Below are 22,527 nucleotides of genomic sequence, written 5' to 3' on the forward strand. Positions count from 1 at the left end.
ACTGTGTATCCTGGAACTTTGTAACTGGAAAAAAATTACCAGCAGCAGCAGCCTGATCAAAACTGCAACTTCTTGCCCACCTGGACAACCCAGCTCTCTTTTCTAGAAATTAGCATCTATGCTCAATTTCTAATAATGGAATGGTGCCTAGGTACTCATGTTTGTCTAGGTGAAAACAGCTTCTAAATCCAGGTGCTTACATCAGAATGGCTCTCCTGGAAATTTAGGACTGAGACATTGAGTCAGTTACCTGTAGGGTAACCTGTAGAATCAGAGATTTCTCAAATTTGACCTGTCTTATTTTGATACCATGTTTCCCAGCAATGTATCCTCCCCTTAAGTATCAGTTTTTGTAAAATCTCCTAATCAATTTCTTATCAGATTATATTATATAAATACCTATCATCTAGAGTACTCCAGAAGCCAAATGAACATTAAAAAAAAAATACTGAGATAGGGCCAGGCATAGTGGCTGAGTGTAATACCAGCATTTTGGGAGGCTGAGTTGGAAGGATAACTTGAGGCCAGGAGTTCATGACCAGCCTGGGTTATATAGCAAGACGCTGTCTCTCTACCAATTCTATCAATATTTAAAAAAAAAAACTGGGTGTGGTGGTGGCACCTGTACTCCTAGCTACTTGGGAGCCTGAGGTGGGAGGACGGATTGATTGAGGCCAGGAGTTTGAGGCTATCGTGAACCATAATCGTCCACTGCAGTCCACCCTGGGGTGATGGACTAATAAGACTGTCTCTAAATAAATAAATATTACAAAAAGAAAAGCACTGAGATAGGTAATGTTGGTAAGTGAGATTATAGATTTTAATCTCATGAACAATTTTAAGTTAGCTACTATACACTCCCATTTCCAAAAGTTTAGATTGGAATGTTTGCTGCCTTTGGTAGCTAAGAGAAAAGAAATAACAATGAGGGATATTATAGTGCCATTCTTCCACAGTCCTTATCAAATAAATAGGCCTTTGAGTCTTGGAATTGTTGAGAGTAAGAAAGCAAATAATATATAAAGTTGACAAGCACAAAAGACACAAAGAGGCCAGGCATGGTGGCTCAAGCTTGTAATTCCAACACTTTGGGAGGTCAGGGCAGGGGGGTTGTCTGAATCCAGGAGTTCAAGACCAGCCTAGGCAACATAGTGAGATCCCATCTCTACAAAAAATAAAAACAAAAGTAGCCAGACATGAATGGTGCATGCCTGTAGTCCCAGCTACTCAGGAGGCTGAGGTGGGAGGATCACTTGAGGCTGGGAGGTCGAAGCTACAGTGAGCTGTAATTGCACCACTGCACTCCAGCCTGGGGAACAGTAAGACCATGTTGGAAAAAAAGAAGAGGGGAGGGGAAGGGGAGGAGAGACCACAAGAAACAAATATAATGAATAATAGTTTACTATTCCTGAGAAAAAGAGAATACCAAATGTGAGAGAATGTGTAACTAGGGTTGGGGAGAGCGGGCTGGAGAGAGAGAGCACGCAAAGACAACAGAGAGAAGTCAAATAGGAAATTTCAAAATGAGAATCAGCTGATGTATAAAAAAAGAGCAAAATAATTTTTTTACCGATAGAACTGCAAGATTTAGCTTTCCAAAATGATTCCATTCTCCAGAAAAGAAAAATTAATTTAAGCACTCATCTAAGTAACTAGTATAAAGTGCCAAGCAAAAATAAACATTTATTAGGTATAGACAAATGCAAATATATTCAATGCTTTCGTACAAATGTGAATATCTGGGGGCCTTATTATCATCTTGTTAATATATGCCAGTGAACAATTTGTAGACACAAGACTTGTTTTACAAGCAGGGTAATATGTTCCATGAACGTAAGCCAGGAATTTAAGACTTAGTGTCTATATCTTCATTCTAAGAAATGTTTCAATTAACTCACTGTGTGTGTGTGTGTGTGTGTGTGTGTGTGTGTGTGTGTGTGTGTGTGTGTGTGTGTATGTTTTCTATCTCATGTGGTGGTGATGAGCCTAGTACTTATATTCTTGAAATGGAAATCCCATTCTGATATTTCTTCCTCCCTCTTCTCTGTCACATTAAACTGATCACCAGGCTCTTACATATTACATACACCAGCTGAAGCTCTTACATATTACCGAATGTCTCTGTCCCGTTGTTCCTACTACTTCAGATCCTCATTCCAGTGTCTGGGACACTGTCAGAGTCTAAATAGATTCTAGGTCTCTTGTCTCGTCTATCTTCCATCTCCCAATCCTCCTTCCCCTGATCCATTAGAATGACAGACCTAAGCATATCCTTTCTGAACATAAAAACCCTTCAATAACTTTAGGGATAAACTTTAGGCTCCTTAACATGATGCATGAGGTGCCTGAACATCTGACCCTTGACAGTCCCTCTCAGCATTCTGGCACATTCAGGGTCCTAACAATACCACCCTTCTCCCTGCCACCATCCCAAATCCCTCCCCCTGCTCACCACTCTCCTTGTTATTTTCCACTTCAAAGCTTTTGCTCCTTCAATCTGTAAAATTAACAGCCACTCATGTGTTCCTTCCTTTCTCCTCTCTTCACAGCCAGCACCTGGAGGTTTCTTACTCTTAGGAAAAACTGCGACCTTTTCTAAGATACCTCCTCCCTCTTTCCTTAGTCCTGTTAAAGGTTAGGTGGACATTCACTGTACCTCGAAAATCCTTGCACATATTATTTTTTAACAATCACCGATTGATGTACGTCTATCCACCATACAGACCTGGTACATATAAGAGGACATGCCAGAAATGAGGACGAGATCAATGGGCAGGTAGATGAAATGTTTAGCTTCCCTATTTACCTGAAACCTCATTTTTGGGAGTCCTAAAACCCATAAAGAATATTTAGTGCTTTCAAAAATATCTTTTACTTGGCCAGGTGCAGTGGCTTACACCTGTAAACCCAGCATTTTGGGAGACTAAGGCCACTGGATCACTTGAGGTCAGGAGTTCGAGCCCAGCCTGGCCAACATAGCAAAACCCCATCTCTACTAAAAATACAAAAGTTAGCCGGGCATGGTGGTCCCGCCTATAATCCCAGCTACTCAGGAGGCTGAGGCATGACAAGAATCACTTAAACCTGGGAGGCAGAGAGGGTGCACTGGGCCAAGATCACACCACTGCACTCCAACCCGAGTGAGGGAGTGAGAATCTGCCTTAAAAAAATAAAAAATTAGCTGGGTGTGGTAGTGGATGCCTGTAATCCCAGCTACTTGGGGGCTGAGGCAGGAGAATCGCTTGAACCTGGGAGGCGGAGGTTGCAGTAAGCCAAGATCTCAGCACCGCACTCCAGCCTGGGTGACAGAACGAGACTCCATCTCAAAAAAAAAAAAAAAGTCCTGGCCAGGCGCGGTGGCTCACGCCTGTAATCCAAACACTTTGGGAGGCCAATGTGGGTGGATCACGAGGTCAGGAGATCAAGACCATCCTGGCCTGTAGTCCCAGCTACTTGGGAGGTTGAGGCAGGAGAATCGCTTGAACCTGGGGAGGTGGAGATTGCAGTGAGCCGAGATTGAGCCACTGCACTCCAGCATGGGCCACAGAGCGAGACTCCGTCTCAAAAAAAAAAAAAAAATCTTTTACACAGACGCTAAATATACTGATAAAAACTTAATTGCTATCCACTACTATTACTTTTGGAAAAAAATAAGGGGGAGACAGGTTAGCAATTTCTAAGCCTTCCATTAGGTTTAATCTTACAATTAGATGACATCATGTTTTTTGATGTTTTTGTTTGTTTCTCTGGCCTATGATCATCCTTCCTATGCTTATAAACAATCTTTACTTCAGGGCTATCCAATAAAGAAGGACTATTAAAAAAGCATATATATATATACACACACACACACACACACACACACATATACATATGATATAGTCATCATCTGCTAACTACTCTCTATGCAAACTGTAGCTTTCTAAAATGAATGCTTCCTTGACTCTGAAGAATACAAGCTTCTACCCCAAAAAAGTTCACAAATCCCTTTGCTGCCACAATCTTCACATTTCTGAAAACTTATTAAAAGGTAATTTTAACAAAACATGTCAGTGAAATGATGAGTTAACGCATGTTACAGAAGAAAATATTAGCAGTCAAAAATATAAAAATAGGATACAATGATTTAAATTTTACAAAAACTGGCCACTGGCCAGGGATGCTGGCTCACGACTGCACTTTGAGAGGCTGAGATAGGAGGATTCCTTGAGACCAAGAGTTAGAGACCACCCTGGGCAACATAGGGAGATCCTGTTTCTATAAAACATAAATAGACCAGGTGCACTGGCTCACACCTGTAATCCCAGAACTTTGGGAGGCAGCCAAGGTGGGCAGATCACTTGAGGCCAGGAGTTCAAGCCCAGCCTGATCAACGTGGCGAAAACCTGTCTCTACTAAAAATACAAAAAACTATTCGGGAGTGGTGATGCATGCCTGTAATCCCAGCTACTTGGGCTTGGGAGGCCGAGGCATGAGAATTGCTTAAACCCAGGAGGTAGAAGTTGCAGTGAGCCAAGAGTGAACCACTGCACTACAGCTTGGGTGACAGAGCAAGACTCTGTCTCAAAAAAAAAAAAAAAAAAAAAAAAACAAACAAAGAAATAAATAAAAGGAAGTTAAGCTATGAGAACACAAAGGGATCAGAATGATACACAATGAACTTTGGGGACTTGGGGGAAAGGATGGGAATGCGGTGAGAGATAGAAGACTACACACTGGGCACAGTGTACGCTGCTTGGGTGATGGGTACACCGAAATCTCAGCAATCACCACTAAAGAACTTAGTCATGTAACCAAACACCACCTGTTCCCCAAAAGCCTACTGAAATAAAGAAATAAATATTTTTAAAACTGGCCATTATATATTTAACGACATGTAGAAAATTTAACAGGTCAATACAGTGAATTCTCTGCTATTTAGATATACAATAAAGATATTCTAGTAAATTTTTTCCCAGTACTCACAAAATTTCATTTTTTTCTAAATTCCACAATGTTCTAGCCACATAGGAGTATTTCTTATTCTCTGAACATGCCTACCTGCCACCTCTTCCCTTTGCACCTGCTATCCTAGGTTACGTCACTTTCTCTGTCTGGAATTTTTAGTTGATCATTTTCTGCAAAGGTCAAATGCCTAATTATTCTGCAAAGCCCTAGAAGCTCTTTGTATGCCTTACTCAATTCCTGAGACAAGAATAATTTCTCATTATTTACCCATAATACTCCATTCAGCCTTATTATTATGTAATATATATTTTAATTTTCATACATTTATTGACTTGTCTTCCTACTTGAGGAGGAAACCCCCTATTTTATTTATCCTTGAATTCCTGGTATCTAACAGAATGCTTGATACAAAGTAGGTCCATAGTAAATGCCCAGTAAATAAATGTTCCCAAACTTATCCTTTATTACCTACCATCCATTAAGGACTGATGTCTTCAAGCCCATTTTCCAATCATTCCTGTCATTTCAGAATTGCATGCCCCATTATTAGGCATAAAGAATTTATATGAACAAAACCTTATTAACTTTTTTTATTTTTTTGAAACAGGGTCTCACTCTGTTACCTAGGCTGGAGTACAGTCACACAATCATAGCTCACTGCAGCCTTGACCTCCCAGGCTCAAGAGATCCTCCCACCTCAGCCTCTCGAGTAGTTGGGAGGGACTACAGGCGAGCACCACCATGCCCGGCTAATTGTTTTTCTTTTTTGCAGAGGTGGGGTCTCAGAATGTTGCCCAGGCTGGTCTGGTACTCCTGGGCTCAAGCAATCCTCTCACTTCAACCTCCCAAAGTACTGAAATTATAGGTGTGAGCCACCACACCCGGTCCATTAACTTACTTTCTTTTTTGTTTTGTGTTTCTTTGCTTGCTGTTCTTTTTTGAGACAGGGTCTTGCTCTGTTGCCCAGGTGGGGGTGCAGGGCACAGTCACGGTTCACTGCAGCCTCAACCTCTGGGCTCAAGGGACCCTCCCACCGCAGCCTCTTGAGTAGTTGGGACTACAGACACGTGTGCCTCCCCACACCTGGCTAAATTTATTCTTTTTTGTAGAGACAGGGTCTCGCTTGTTGTCCAGGCTGGACTCAAACTTCTGGGCTCAAGCGATACTCCTGCCTGGGCGTCCCAAAGTGCTAGGACTATAGGCATGAGCCACTGAGCCTATTCTAACACTAAGTAGAACAAAACAAATCATCAACAACAAAAATCCAACAAACATAAAGCAATCGCATATAAGAAAAGCTATAAAAAGGAAAGAAATAGAAAGAAGAAAAAAATAAACTTGATAAACAGATACACCATGCTTCTGGAAGGAAGGATTCAATACTGTAAAAATATATTCATCCCTAAAACAGTACTTCACTGTAACTCTAATGTAGTCTAAATTGTGCTCTTATTAGTCCTAATGTTCATCTAGAAAAATAGATGACAATATTTGTCTTACCATATACTAAAATGTATATAAAGCTATAATAATTTAAAATAGTGTGGCACCAGGATAAAAACAGACACACCAATGGAACACATAAAAAGTCCAGAAACATACTCAAGTATTCAAGAATTTAGTAATGATTCAAACAATATTTCAAATCACAATGGAAAACAGATTATTCAGCAATAGTGTTGAAAAAGTTGACTAACCAGGTGGGAGGGGAAAGTTGGGCACGTATCTTACCATATTCTAAAATTAATTCTAGGCTAATAAAATATTTATATCTAAATAATTCCTTCTTTGGTCTACCCTCGCTCCTTTTCTGCTTCAACACTTTAGTCTTAAAGCCATGAGATGGGGCTAGGCATGGTGGCTCACGCCCGTAATCCTAGCATAGGCGTGGTGGCTCATGCCTGTAATCCTAGCATAGGCGTGGTGGCTCATGCCTGTAATCCTAGCATTTTGGGAGGCCAGAGCAGGCAGTTCACTTGAGCTCAGGAGTTCAAGACCAGCCTGGGCAACATGATGAAATCTCAACTCTACAGATAATACGGAAAACTTAGCTGGGTGGGATGGGTGCGCCTTGTAGTCCCATCTACTTAGAGGGCTAAAGTGGAAGGACTGCTTGAGCCAGAGGTCGAAGCTGTAGTGAGCCAAAACTGCACCACTGCACTCCAGCCTGGGTGACAAAATGAGACCCAAAAGCCATGAGGTGAGTTCAAGCATAGTAATTATCCATGAGGGGGTCATGGATATTGGAGGGGGCAGTCCAATACTAGTATAAGAGCCTGAGTAAGGCTGGCTTCCCTAAGGGGTTGGGGATAGGGGTGAGGACAATCTCAGAGCAAGGTGAAAAGATCAACAAAAGTGGAAGCAGTGAACTGAGGCTGAATATCAAATCCCAAGAGGGGTGAAAAGGACTGGCATGCAGGAAAGTAGCAGCAACCCTGAACTGGGTTAGAACAGCATCTGCCTTAGGTGGAGCAGCAACAGAAGGTATGTCAAAACAGGAGAAATTGATCAAATAAGTAAACTATTAAAAATAGTGAGAGTCAGGTTTCTGTCTGAGCATCATAAATACGTGGGAAAAAATTAAAATGAAACCCTGTTTTGTTGGGTTGGATTTGGCAAAGTTAATATGAGCATATGGAGTTCAATATATAGAGATGGATACAGTAATAGAGATGTGAGTGTGTATGTATATTCACATAATGAATCAAAAGTATTGTGACCTCACAGTTTGTTCTCTTTTTTTTTGAGACAGCGTCTCATTCTGTCACCCAGGCTGGAGTGCAGTGGCACAATCTCGGTTCACTGCAACCTCCGACTCCCAGGTTCAAGCAATTCTCCTGTCTCAGCTTCCTGAGTAGCTGGGATTACAGGCGTCCACCACCATGCCTAGCTAATTTTTTTTTTTTTTTGAGATGGAGTCTTGCTCTGTCGCCCAGGCTGAGGTGCAGTGGCACAATCTTGGCTCACAGCAACCTCCGCCTCCCGGGTTCAAGCAATTCTCCTGCCTCAGCCTCCTGAATAGCTGGGATTACAGGTGCCTGCTACCACACCTGACTAATTTTTGTATTTTTTAGTAAAGACGGGGTTTCGCCATCTTGGCCAGGCTGGTCTTGAACTCCTGACCTCATGATCCACCTGCCTCAGCCTCCCAACGTTCTGGGACTAGAGGCGTGAGCCACTGGGCCCAGCCCATTTTTTTTCTTTTTGAGACAGAATCTCACTCCGTCATTCAGGCTGGAGTGAAGTGGTGTGATATTGGCTCACTGCACTCTCTCTGCCTCCAGGGCTCAAGTGATTCTCGTCATGCCTCAGCCTCCCAAGCAGCTGGGATTATAGGCGTGCCCCACCATGCCAGGCTAATTTTTGTATTTTTAGTAGAGACGGGGTTTCATTAGCCAGGCTGGTTTCGAACTCCGGACCTCAAGTCATCCCACTGGCCTCGGCCTCCCAAAGTGCTAGGATTACAGGTGTGAGCCATCGCGCCTGGCCCACAGTTTTCTACATAGATATAAAAACAATATACGATGTGAATTTATAGAAATATGTATCTCTGTAGGAATACACACACACACACACACACACACACACACACACACACACACACACAAATTTCCTAGCCATGCTGACTGAGAGTAGCAATAACCCACACCTAGCACCCGCTTTGGCTTCTAAATATTATTCTCACCTAAACGGAATCAAGGCTCTTCAGAGAAATGGTGATTTCAGAACTACAGCAGGAATAATACAAGATGAGCCTAGATTATACTGTTGTGTCAGAAGTAGAGAAATGCTTCTCTGAAATGATAGGTCAAAATACACAGAAGCCGGCTTAAAGAGGTCCCACCAGGCAAACCTGAGACAGTATGTACATCAAAATAAATGATATTAGTGGAATATGACCCATTAAAATAAAATAGCGTAAGTCCATACTAATACAAATAATCAGGGAGTAAAGAAAGCTTCACCTTACAGTGGAACATCAACTGATGAATGTGAAAGAAAAGGTGAAATTAGAAAATCACTACTTGCCATCAATCCTAGTCATAAATTAGGTCAAGAAACATCAATGAATACTAAAATTAGTGAGGAAAAGGTGCAAGGAACAAGATGTTTATATGAGAAGTACTTCCCCCACAAAATCCATACTGACTATAAAGAGAAAAAAGATTAACCTCACAGTGGAGAAACCTGATAGACACACCTTAACCAAGTGGTCAAGGAAAAACTGAAATCATGTACCACCTGATAGGATGCAAACAAAAAACACAGAATCACATATGTGATACTCCTGCTAAAAACATAACTGCATTTAATCATGATGAAACATCAGGCAAATACAAATAGGAGGTCATTCTACAAAATAACTGACCTGTAATATTCAGAAGTATCAAAGTTATGAAACTCAGGGAAAGACTGAGTTACTATTTGAGATTTAAAAAGACCAAAGAGGACTGGGCGTGGTGGCTCAGACCTGTAATGCCAACAGTTTGGGAGGCTGAGGCAGGCAGATCACTTGAGGCCAGGAGTTCGAGACCAGCTGGGCCAACATGGCAAGAGCCTGTCTTTACTAAAAGCAGAAAAAAATCAGCTGGACGTGGTGGTGCACACCTGTAATCCCAGTTACTCGGGAGGCTGAGGCACGAGAATCACTAGAACCCAGGAGGTGGAGGCTGCAGTGAGCCAAGATTGCGCCAATGCACTCCAGCCTGGGTGACAGAGAGAGACTCTGTACAAAAATAAAAAGAAAAAGAAATAAAAAGACCAAAGAGTCAAAATGCAGTTTGTGATCCTTTTGCTATAAAGAATATGTCTACAAAAACACGAATGGGTTCCAAAGATCAGACAGGAATAATGCATCGCTGTTAATTTCCTTATTTTGATGGTATATTGTATATGCCCAGGAGAATATCCTTCTTTATGGGAAATTCTGAAGTATTCAGGGGTGACAGCATATTATATTGGTAAGTTACTCTCAAATGGTTTAGGGAAGGAAGAGTTCTTTTGTACTATTCCTGCAACCTGTTTGTAAGTTTTAATGCTTTTAAAATTAAAAAGAAAAACAAGGTTTTTAAAAATGAACTTCCAAAGCACTAAAAAAAAGTGCATTAATATGAAGATTTTCTTTGCACAGCAAAGGCAGAAACAATAAAGAGCATTTGCGTAAATTACCTCAAAAATGTAAACTTCTGCATTAGAAAAAGTTAACCTGCTAGAATCCCAATAACAAAAACTATGAAGACATAATAAAATTAAACACCAAACGTTAAACTATGGGAAAAAACACACACAGCAAATATACAAGACAAAAGAATATGATCTCTAATATAAAACACTTTGTAAAAAAATTATAATATTAAAATAAACAGATATGGAAGGTCAATTAACATACATGAATAATCTTCAAAAAAAAACTTTAAAATAACCAACCTTACCAGTACTCAAAGAAACTCATTCAAACATTTTAATATTTTTTTTACTAGAAAGAATAGCAAAGTTTTTTTAAGAGTAACACAGTGTACCTAACATAATAGAGGGTTATGAGCAATCTCACATACAGCTAATACAGTGTAAGTTCTAGAGGACAATTTCACACAGTGTATTTCTTGAAGCTTCCAAAATGTTCACACACTTTTACAGAGATGCTAGCAGTGTATACTAAATGCCAGACACCAAACTAGGCCCTTCAACCACAAAGGGTTGCTTAATTAAATTTACAGTTTGTTGAATCTCATGATATTCTGTATTACAGACTAAATATCTATTAAAATACAGCAGAAACACAATTTATTGACATACAAAAGATGCTGTGTAATTTTCAAAAGTAAACAAAAAATATAAGCAAAACAATTCAACTTTTTCATAAGTATATATTATAAGCAAAAATACACAGAAAAAACCCCGTCTCTACTAAAAAATAGAAAAATTAGTCGGGCGTGATAGTGGGCACCTGTAATCCCAGCTACTCAGGAGGCTAAGGCAGGAGAATTGCTTGAACCCGGGAGGCAGAGGTTGCTGTGAGCCGAGATCGTGCCACTGCATTCCAGCCTGGGTGACAGAGTGAGACTCTGTCTCAAAAAAAAATAAATAAATAAAAAGTAAAATAAAATAAAATAAAATAAAATAAATATTAATTACAGAATAAAAAGTTTTTTTGCACAAAAACATTTAAAATCTTAAAGCTGGCTGCAATTTCTTCCACGGTTGGAATGTGAACCTTCAATTAAGTGGTAAAACTGTATTTAAAGGCACATTGGGTAATGGTGAAACCTAAAATGCAGAGGAGAATAAAACAATAACATACTAAATGAAGAAAAATATACAGGAAAAAAGCAAACATTAAGTTTTTTTTTTAAGGCCAACAATAAAAACAGTATCTTGGGGTACAAATAACTTGAGGGGGGGGACAAGTAACATTCTAATGTAGGACTGTTTTTCAAAAAAGAATATGATACATTGTAATGAATATTATGCAAAATAATAATTAATTCAAATTTAACAGACTCTTGATACCTGAAAGAGCAAAAGAGGTCAGTAATTCATAAAGGGCCAATCTGTAAGGATTAAAATATCCTGTAAATCGTAGAATACTACATACCTAGGTTACTATGAAAGGTAACACAGTTTTGCTTGCTTTGTACTCCTGTGACCTTAGTAACATATTAATAACATTTTAATAACTGTAGTTTGGTGTAGTAATTTTTTTCCCACATCTCCCTGAACTTGATGGAGACCTACAATTTTTTTTTTTTTTTTTGAGACAGAGTCTCGCTCTGTTGCCCAGGCTGGAGTGCAGTGGTGTGCTCTCGGCTCACTGCAAGCTCTGCCTCCTAGGTTCACGCCATTCTCCTGCCTCAGCCTCCCGAATAGCTGGGACTACAGGCGCCCGCCACCACGCCCAGCTAATTTTTGTATTTTTAGTAGAGACGGGGTTTCACCGTATTAGCCAGGTTGGGGAGAACTATCATTTTAAAAACACAAAGACTTCCTTTCTATTTCCCAGCAGTGATATTCAAACAGTAATAAAATAATATCCACTGTACCTTATTACAATGATCATGTGGAACAGACTGTAAAACAATTGGTTCCATTGTGGAATCATTGGCAAATTGTACCTCCGGAATATACAGAGCACACACCTCATGGGCCCAACCTAAAAATAAATAAATAAATGTCATCTTTTCAGTTTTATCAAAAGCAAATTAACATCATTAATTTCCTTAACAGATCCCTACAATGTCTATTGAAACAAATGCATAACAAGGACATTAACAAATTCTCATTGCTGTCTTACTTCCATTGCTTGAGGATACTCAAACCACTACTAAAAAAAGCATTCTTAATCATTTCCCCAGTTATGATGTACAGGAACATAAACAAAGGGAAACATTTATAAATTCAGATGTTGGCACTAACACTTCTTATACAGGCAGACTAAATATTCAGATCAACACTACTAATGAGAACCACTATAAAAGGAGTTTTTAAAAGTTTAATACTTATGATAAAATTTAATAATCTTAATCATTTTAAATGTTAACATGAAATTATTTTTATCTCGGTGTCAATATTTTTAATATTAGTAATAACAATCATTTCACTATTTTAATTGGAAAAGTTTTAAATTTGGTATTAAATATATATATTTTATGAGATGGAGTTTCCCTCTTGTTGCCCAGGCTGGAGTGCAATGGCGCAATCTCGGCTCACCGCAACCTCCGCCTCCTGGGTTCAAGCAATTCTCCTGCCTCAGTCTCCTGACTGAAGGTATTAAGGAGCTGATGTGATAGTGAGGAATTTCTGGGCTAAAACTGGAAAAGAATGTAAGTCCTAGGCACAGTTTTTGGCCACTTTTGCCCAGGGAACATTTGCCTATTTCAGAGAAAGCGGTGGTGAGGATGAAGGGTACAATTCTTTTTTTTTTTTTTTTTTTTTTAGACAGAGTCTCGCTCTTGTTGCCCAGGCTGGAGTGCAATGGCGCGATCTTGGCTCACTGCAAACTCCACCTTCTGGGTTCAAGCAATTCTCCTGCCTCAGCCTCCCCAGTAGCTGGGATTACAGGCATGCACCACCACACCCGGCTAATTTTGTATTTTTAGTAGGGGTGGGGTTTCTCCATGTTGGTCAGGCTGGTCTCGAACTCCTGACCTCAGGTGATTCGCCCACCTCAGCCTCGCAAAGTGCTGGGATTACAGGCGTGAGCCACCACGCCCGGCCTGAAGGGTACTTTTGACAAACTCAGAGGCCCAACAGTACAGGGATGTACATTCACAAACAACCAAGAGAAAAAGAGTACAAGTAAACCCCTCTCCTCCTTTCAGATGCAACACTGAACGGCAAACTGGGGATGAGAATACACTAAAAGTACATAGACCCTCAAAGAGACGACACCAGGGCTCTGACCATCTCAAACTCTGAAATTTGATGAAGGTAATCCGAAATTACAACTCCCAAGGCACGAAGCAGATGTAAACATACATCCTCTCTAAAAGAAAATAGTATCATTTTGGCTACAAATAATTTCTACCTTTTTTTTTTTTTTTTTTTTTGAGACAAAGCCTTGGTCTATGGCCCAGGCTGAACTGCACTGGCGTGATCTCGGCTCACTGCAACTTCCTCCTTCCAGTTCAAGCAATTCTCCTGCCTCAGCCTCCCAAGTAGCTGGGATTACAGGTGCCCACCACCACACCTGGCTAATTTTTGTATTTTTAGTAGATATGAGGTTTCACTGTGTTGACCAGGCTGGTCTCGAACTCCTGACCTCAAGTGATCCACCAGTCTCAGCCTCCCAAAGTGGCGGGAATACAGACATGAGCCACCACACCCAGCCTAAAATTTCTTAATTACATATAATTTCCAGCACAATAATAAGTACCAAACACATGACAGACAAGACAATATGAATGAGAATAAGGAGAACACGAACATCAAAACAGATCAGTATTTTGGAGTTATCAGATAAAGATTTTAAAATAAGTATGCTTACTATGATCAAGTACACACAAGACAAAATTCTAAATTGATGCAAAGAACCGAAAACTATAATAATAAATTAAAATTCCAGAAGTAAAGCGGAAATTTAGAAATCAGTCAGGCACAGTGGCTCATGCCTGTAAGCCCAGTACTTTGGAAGGCTGAGGCAGATCGCTTGAGACCAGGAGTTCAAGACCACCCTAGGTAACAAAGTGAGACCCCATCTCTACAAAAAAAAAAGTAATGAGCCAGGTGCAGCGGCATGCACCTATAGTCCCAGCTATTCAGGAGGTTGAGGTGGGAGGATTGCTTGAGCCCAGGAGTTGGAGGTTGTTGTGAATGATTATTGTGCCACTGCAATCCAGCCTGGGTGATAGAGACCCTATCTCAAGAAAAAAAAAATCAGTGGGTGGGATTAACAGCAGTTTAGACATGGATGAAAAGAGAATTAGTAGGAACACAACAGGTCAGAAGAAGAAATCCAGAATGTTAGCACAAAACACAAAAGTAAGAAATACAAAAAATGGAATAAGACACATGAAAAATGTAATAGGCAGGCAGGTCTAACACACATGTAATCAGAGTCTCGGAGAAATATGAGAGAGAAAATGGCATGAAAGCAGTATCTGAATTGATAATGCCTAAAAATTTTCCAGAACAGAAGACCCAAAGCCACTGACTGAAGAACCACTATAAATCAGAGTAAATAAATACACGAAGGAACATTAATAAAACTACAGAAAACTAAGGGAAAGAAATGAAAATCTTAAAAACAAAAGGCAAGTTATCAAACGAAAAACTAGATAACTAAATAAAGCCAGAAAACATTATGTAAAAGATTTCCATGAAAGGGAACACCAAACAATTTTCCTTGGGCAATAGGAAAATGATTCCAGAAGGAAGCTCAGAACTGAAGAAAAATATAAAGAACGATAAACATGTAGGTACATTTAATATATAATGCACATATAAAACAATAATGCCTTCACACTCATTTACAATACAAATGACCACTTACACTAAATATTAAAACACTGGTACGGTCTGTGGATGTATGTAGCTTTCCTATAAAACTACAGCAAAGACTGGAAAAGGAACAGGTAAAAGAAGTCTATATGGTTTCATTCTACATTTCGTGTTAAGTGGTACACACAGGCCAGGTGCGGTGGCTCACGCCTGTAATCCCAATACTTTGGATACCCAAGGCGGGCAGATCACTTGAGGTCATGAGTTTCAGACCAGCCTGGCCAATATAGCGAAACCATGTCTCTACTAAAAATACAAAAATTAGCTGAGTGTAGTGGTGTGTGCCTGTAGTCCCAGCCACTCAGGAGGCTGAGGCAGGAGGACTGCTTGAACCCAGGAGGTGGAGGTTGCAGTGAGCCAAGATAGTGCCACTGCAGTCCAGCCTGGGCGACACAGCAAGACACCGTCTCAAAAAGAAAAAAAAAAGTGGTACACTCAGTAGACTGAATTTACTGATAAGAAAATTATAATCCCTACAGCAACCACTATATAGATAAATATAAATACTTATATAAATAGGAAGAGATATGGCCAAAAAGGCAATTTAAGGCAATTTAATATAATTAATTAAGTTTAAATGCAATACTATCTAGTTGCATTGTTAAACTGATTAAAATACAGCACTAAAAAATAATCACAAAAAGAACAGAAGAGAAATAAGAAATAAGTGGGAAAAATCAATGTTAAGAGCAAACAGCAGAAGACTTCTACTTCTGTCCAAGGTAGACTAAGGCAGTCAAGAGAAAGTCACAAGGGAAACTGGAAAATGTCTTGAACGGAATGGCAACAAACATGTAATTTATCACAATTTGAGACGCAGGCTGGGGACAGTGGCTCACGCCTGTTAATTGCTTGACCTCAGGAGTTTGAGACCAGCCTGGGCAACATGGTGAAACCCTGTCTCTACAACAAATACAAAAACATTAGCCAGATAAAGTGGCGTGCACCCGTAGTCCCAGCTGCTTGAGGGGCTGAGGTAGGAGGATCGCTTGGACCCAGGAGGTCGAGGCTTCAGTGAGCCGAGATCACACCCCTGCCCTCCAGCCTGGGTGACAAATTGAGACCCTGTCTCAAAACAACAACAACAATGGCAAAAACAAAAACAAAAAAACACAACTTGTGGGATTCAATAAAAGCAATAGAGAGGAACTTGCAGCATATATATTTTCATTAGAAAAGAATATCTAAAACAAAAGACCTAAGGTTCCACCTTTATAAGTTAGAAAAGAAGAGGAAAATATAACACATAGTAAGTAGTAGGAAGGAAATAATAAAGAGCAGAAGTTTAACACAATAGAAAACAGGGAGATGGCATAAAAAATTAACGAAGCCCAAAACTTCTTTAAAAAGGTCAACACAACTGAATGATTCTATTTGGACTGGTCAAAAAAATAAAAATAAAAACAAAGAAAAACCAGAATACAAATCACCAACATCTGGCCGGGTGTGGTGGCTCACGCCTGTAATCCCAGCACTTTGGGAGGCCGAGGTGGGTGGATCACCTGAGGTCAAGAGTTCACGACCAGCCGGGCCAACATGGTGAAACCCCATCTCTACTAAAAATACAGAAAATTGGCTGGGCGCGGTGGCTCACGCCTGTAATCCCAGCACTTTGGGAGGCCGAGGCGGGTGGATCACGAGGTCAGGAGATCGAGACCATCTTGGCTAACACGGTGAAACCCGGTCTCAACTAAAAATACAAAAACTTAGCCGGGCGCGGTGGCGGGCGCCTGTAGTCCCAGCTACTCGGGAGGCTGAGGCAGGAGAATGGCGTGAACCTGGGAGGCGGAGCTTGCAGTGAGCCGAGATTGTGCCACTGCAATCCGGCCTGGGCTAAAGAGCGGGACTCCGTCTCACAAAAAAAAATACAGAAAATTAGCTAGGCGTGATGGCGGGCGCCTGTAATCCCAGTTACTCAGGAGGCTGAGGCAGGAGAATTGCTTGAACCAGGGAGGCGGAGGTTGCAGTGAGCCGAGATCCCACCACTGCACTGTACCCAGTGGTGTACCCACTGCACAGTTACCCAGCCTGGGTAACAAGAGCAAGGCTCAGTATCAAAAAAAAAAAACAAAAAAATTACCAACATCAGGAATAACAATGGGGTAATAACCACCAATGCTAGCAAAATTAACAAAATAATACTAAAATACTATTGACAGCCGGGTGCGGTGGCTTGTGCCTGTAATCCCAGCACTCTGGGAGGCCAAGGCGGGTGGATCACCTGAGGTCAGGAGTTCAAGGCCAGACTGGCCAACATGGCAAGATTCTCTCTCTACTAAAAATAAAAAATATTAGCTGGGTGTGGTGGTGCCCGCCTGTAATCCCAGCTACTCGGGAGGCTGAAGCAGAGAATCACTTGAACCTGGGAGGTGGAGTCCGCAGTGAGCTGAGCTCATGCCACTGCACTCCAGCTTGGGTGACAGAGCAAGACTCCATCTCAATAAATAAATAAATAAATACTATTGGCAATGTTAGTCCAACAATTTCAGCAACTTATACAAAGTAGTCAAATTTCTTGAAAAAATAGAGCGCACCAAAATTGACAAGTTTATACAAATAGGCCGGGCCCAAGGGCTCATGCCTGTAATCCCAACATTTTGGGAGGATGAGGCAGGGGCATAGTTTGAGCCCAGATGTTCGAGACCAGCCTCGGCAACAAAGCGAAACCGCTTGTCTCTACAAAAAATACAAAAAGAAAAAAATATTAGCCAGGCATGGTGTGCCTGTGGTCCCATCTATTCAGGAGGCTGGGGGAGGAGGATCATTTGAACTCAGGAGTTTGAAGCTGCAGTGAGCTATGACTACATCACTGCACTCTAGCCTGGGCAACAAAGTGATACACTGTTAAAAAAAAAAAAAAAAGGAAGAAAGAGAGAGAGAGAGGGAGGGAGACAGGGAGGGAGGACAGAAAAGAGAAGAAAAGAAAAAGAGAAAGGAGGGAAAAAGGAATGTCCCTATAATTTTGCCAAAAAACGAATTTATCAAAAATTTTCCCAGAAGAGTTTCAGTTGCTCACGAAGTTCTATATAGAATTCAAAGAAAAATAACACGAAATTTACACAAACTGTTTCATTTTAAGTGACTAGCATAATCCTCAACAAACACCTGACAAAACCACTATAATTCTTTTTTTTTTTTTTTTGAGACGGAGTCTCGCTCTGTCGCCCAGGCTGGTGCAGTAGCTGGATCTCGGCTCACTGCAAGCTCCGCCTCCCGGATTCACGCCATTCTCCTGCCTCAGCCTCCCAAATAGCTGGGACTACAGGCGCCTGCCACCACACCTGGCTAATTTTTTGTATTTTTTAGTAGAGACGGGGTTTCACCGTGTTAGCCAGGATGGTCTCGATCTCCTGACCTTGTGATCTGCCCGCCTCAGCCTCCCAAAGTGCTGGGATTACAGGCGTGAGCCACCGCGCCCGGCCCAAAACCATTATAATTCTTAAGGAAACAGAGAATGAAAGTACATGACAAAAATAAAACATACGTCAGGAGATGGACAAGTGAATTTACAGTATCCTAAGAGTTTCAGAGGATTCAGAAAGAGGAAAGAAGCACATAGTAACATTAACTTTTTAAAAAGCTAATAGAGAGGGTAGAATGGAACGAGTGGAACAAACCAGAATAGGAAAGACAAATACAAAACATTTAATAAGATGGGAGGCTTACACCAGGTGCAGTGGCTCATTCCTGTAATCCCAACACTCTCAAAGCTGAGGCAGGAAGATCACTTGAGCCCGGGACTACAAAGCTGCAGTGAGCTAGGATCCTGCTACTTGCACTCCAGCCTGAACAACAGAATGAAAACCTGTCACTTAAAAAAAAAAACAAAACTTTGGAATAGTGAAGGCCTTTCTAACTAATAACTCAAAATACTGACATCATGAAAGACTAATAAATTGTACAAAATTAAAATCAAAAACCCATGCATGGTAAACAAATTTTTTAAAAAGCACAATATAAATAAAGACTAACCAGATGGGCAAAAATTAGTCCAACTCATATCAAAACAGCATAATAACATATAAGGGGCTCCTTATGGATGCTCCAATAAATCAAACTAAAAAGATCAACAACTGTGGCTGGGCATGGTGGCTCACGCCTGTAGTCCCACCACTTTGGGAGGCTGAGGTGAGTGGATCCCATCTCTACTAAAAATTAAAAAGTCAGCTGGGCCTGGTGGCGTGTGCCTATAATCCCAGCTATTCAGGTGAGTGAGGCAGGAGAGTCCTTTGAACGGGGGAGGCAGAAGCTGCAGTGAGCCAAGATCAAGCCACTGTACTCCAGCCTACATGACAGACAGAGACCATCTCAAAAAAAAAAAAAAAAAAAAAAAGATCAACAACCAAGTCAAAAAGCAGACCACAGAAGAGAAAAAAACAAATTGCTCTTCAAACTGTTAAAAGATGTCAACTTCACTAATATTAAGAGAAATGCAAAACGACTGCTTGGATATACAAACTTTCACCTGTTAGGTAAGCAAAGGTATAAGGAACAGCTTTTTTATTCATATATTGGTAAAACTGGGAACATATATTGGTAAAACTACAGGGAGAATAACTTGGGACTATCCATCAAAATTAATTGCAAAACTCCTTTGACCCAATGTTTCCACCTACGGAAATTAATAATCCTATAGATATACTTGTATACCAGCAAAATGACATATATAAAAGAGTTAGTCATCAAAGTAGATCAGAAAGTGCATCAACAACTGATTGATTAGATAACATGGTTAAAAAGGAAAAAAAAGGCTCTATACTGATAACAGGATAAATTGTTCATGCCGGGTGCGGTGGCTCACGCCTGTAATCTCAGCACATTGGAAGGCCGAGGCAGTAGGATCATTTGGGGTCAAGAGTTCAACACCAGCCTGACCAATATTGTGAAACCCCATCTCTACTAAAAATATAAAAATTAGCTGGGCGTGGTGGCGCATACCTGTAATCCCAGCAACTTGGGAGGCTGCAGCAGGAGAATGGCTTGAGCCGGGAAGGTGGAGGTTACAGTGAGCGGAGACTGCACCACTGCACTCCAGCCTGGGTGAATGAGCGAAGCTTCAAAAAAAAAGAAAATTGAAGAAAAAAGAAAAGAAAAGTCTCAAAAAAAAGAAAAAAGATAAATTGTTCAGTGAAATAAATTAAGACGCAGAAGAGTATATAATATTAACCCATTTGTATAAAGATGGAGGGAGTAAAGAAGTATTTGTCCATTCACATCTGAATATGCAAAAGAAACCTAGAAAGATATGCAAGAAAGTAAATAATTATAAGGTAGCAGGAAAGCTATTGATAAACTGGGCAGATGGGGAAGAGGAGTAACAGGAAGGGTTTTCAATATATTTTTAAATTTTGTACAATCTGACTGTATAACATAGTCTGAAGATTAAACTGTATAATATATATAGCTAGCCAAAATGATTGTATTTTTCCCATTTATTCACACCATTACTCTAGTCTATGCCAAAACTACTTTAGAGGTGGCTACCCAAAATGGAGAAGAGTATAGTATCTACTTTTTTTAGCTGCCGCATCATGTATGCCATGGCTTAATAAACTCACGTCTACACATTTCAGAACAGTACTGAGCTACATGTACAAAAATACGAGTTCTCTAACAAAGATAACTAAAAGTAGAGAAGAAAATGAGTAATGCACAAGGGTCCATAGGAAAGCATACCAAAATGTGATACAGAAGTCAGCATTTCTTTTTTTCTTTTCTTTTTTTTTTTTTTGAGACAGGGTCTCACTCTCACCCATCTCAGGGACTGAAGTACAGTGGTGTGACCATGGCTCAATGCAGCCTCCACCTCCCACGCTCAAGCCATCCTCCTGCTCAGCTTCCCAAGTAGCTGGAACTACAGGCACGTGCCACCATGTGGAACTAAGTCTTTTTATTTTTATTTTTTATATTTACTTTTGCAGAGACCAAGGTCTCCCTATGTTGCCCAGGCTGGTCTCAGGCTCCTACGCTCCAGTGAGCCTCCTACCTTGGCCTCTCAAAGAGCTGGGATTACAGGTGTCAGGCACCCAGCCTAAAAGTCAACATTTCTTTATATTCCAGCCACAAAGATCCTCAGAGTTAAATGAAATTAACATTCACTAGAAACATCATCTGTCTAGAGATATACAAAACAGAAAAAAAGAATCTAAAACAACAGATTTTAGGTCTAACAACAACAACAACAAAATGTGGCTCATTTTTCAAAAAAAATTCCTAACACAAGAAACTATATCCATTTAACAAAATACACTTTCTTTTTTTTGAGACAGTCTCCTTCTGTCATGGAGGCTAATGGTCAATGGTGCAATCTCAGCTCACTGGAACCTCTGCCCCCCAAGTTCAAGTTTTTCTCCTGCCTCGGCCTCCCAAGTAGCTGGGACTACAGGCATGCATCACCACGCCCAGCTAATTTTTCTATTTTTAGTAGAAACCAGGTTTCACTATGTTGGCCAGGCTGCTCTCGAACTCCTGACCTCAGGTGATCCACCACCCTCGGCCTCCCAAAGTGCTGGGATTACAGGTGTGAGCTACCTCGCCCAGCCAAAAAAATAAGAATTTTAATTAGAAGTATGTATTTAATAAATCATTCTGCATAAAGTAGCCAATGCTTAAGTTTGTCCACAAAGTAGAAAAATTGTGGGTCAATACATAATAATGATTCATAAATTATAGCCACTACTGTTAAAAATGAGTAGAAAACACTGTTTAATTTGATGAAATAAAATAAACTACCAGATATTTGAAAATACTCCACCGCCCCAGTTTTCAATAAAAATTTTTTCAAGAAATCTCTGCACTTACCCCCATTATCTGTTCTTTTTAAAGCTCCATCCTTATGGGGACAAAGTTCACATCTCTATAAACAAGAAAAGAAACACGTAATGAAGAAATATTTCAGATTATCAAAAATGTAATATCTTCCCTGCAACTTCAAAACTACTGAAAATGTGAGAGCAGCATTTGTACTAGTTGCCCCCCAAGAATATTTAGGAACATTCTTCACAAACAGTTGTTCTTGACGACATGTGATCTTCTTCAGCGAACAAGTAATTTTTTTAAAGTACATTTTAACTTTTAAACTCCTGCCACGGGCCAGGCACGGTGGCTCATGCCTGTAATCCCAGGACTTTGGGAGGCCGAGGCGGGCAGATTACCTGAGGTCGGGAGTTCGAGACCAGCCTGACTAACATGGAGAAACCCCGTCTCTACTAAAAATAAAAAATTAGCCAGGCGTGGCGGCGCATGCCTGTAATCCCAGCTACTGGGGAGGCTGAGGCAGGAGAATTGATTGAACCCGGGAGGCAGAGGTTGCGGTGAGCCAAGATCGCGCCGTTGCACTCCAGTCTGGACAACAAGAGTGAAACTCCATCTAAAAGAAACAAAACAAAACAAATCCTGCCACAAGTTTTTAAATCTTACATTAATAAAAACACAAAGATGCTGGGATTATTTACCTGGGGAGCGGGAGAAAAAAACAAAAAAGTCCTCTCAACACAGGAATGGGGCAAGGTTTTTAACATCTGCCTGTTACCTGTTTACTTCCTGTTTTATGGTCAGCTAGGATGACCGCAGTCAAGTGGGTCT

The 22,527-nt window shown here is 40.6% G+C and overlaps 1 pseudogene across 1 annotated transcript in view; it reads right to left on the bottom strand.

Moving 5' to 3' along the window:
- Positions 1–22,527, bottom strand: part of YWHAEP7 (tyrosine 3-monooxygenase/tryptophan 5-monooxygenase activation protein epsilon pseudogene 7) — a 41,795-nt pseudogene extending 19,268 nt beyond the window's left edge. The window contains exons 1-3 of the transcript NR_024178.2: positions 22,475–22,527; positions 21,745–21,799; positions 11,988–12,097 (exon numbers count right to left, since the gene is read on the bottom strand). The product of NR_024178.2 is annotated as a tyrosine 3-monooxygenase/tryptophan 5-monooxygenase activation protein epsilon pseudogene 7 (transcript). The remainder of the gene's footprint in view (positions 1–11,987; positions 12,098–21,744; positions 21,800–22,474) is intronic.

Source organism: Homo sapiens, chromosome 17 (genome assembly GCF_000001405.40).
Source record: "Homo sapiens chromosome 17, GRCh38.p14 Primary Assembly".
NCBI lineage: Eukaryota > Metazoa > Chordata > Mammalia > Primates > Hominidae > Homo > Homo sapiens.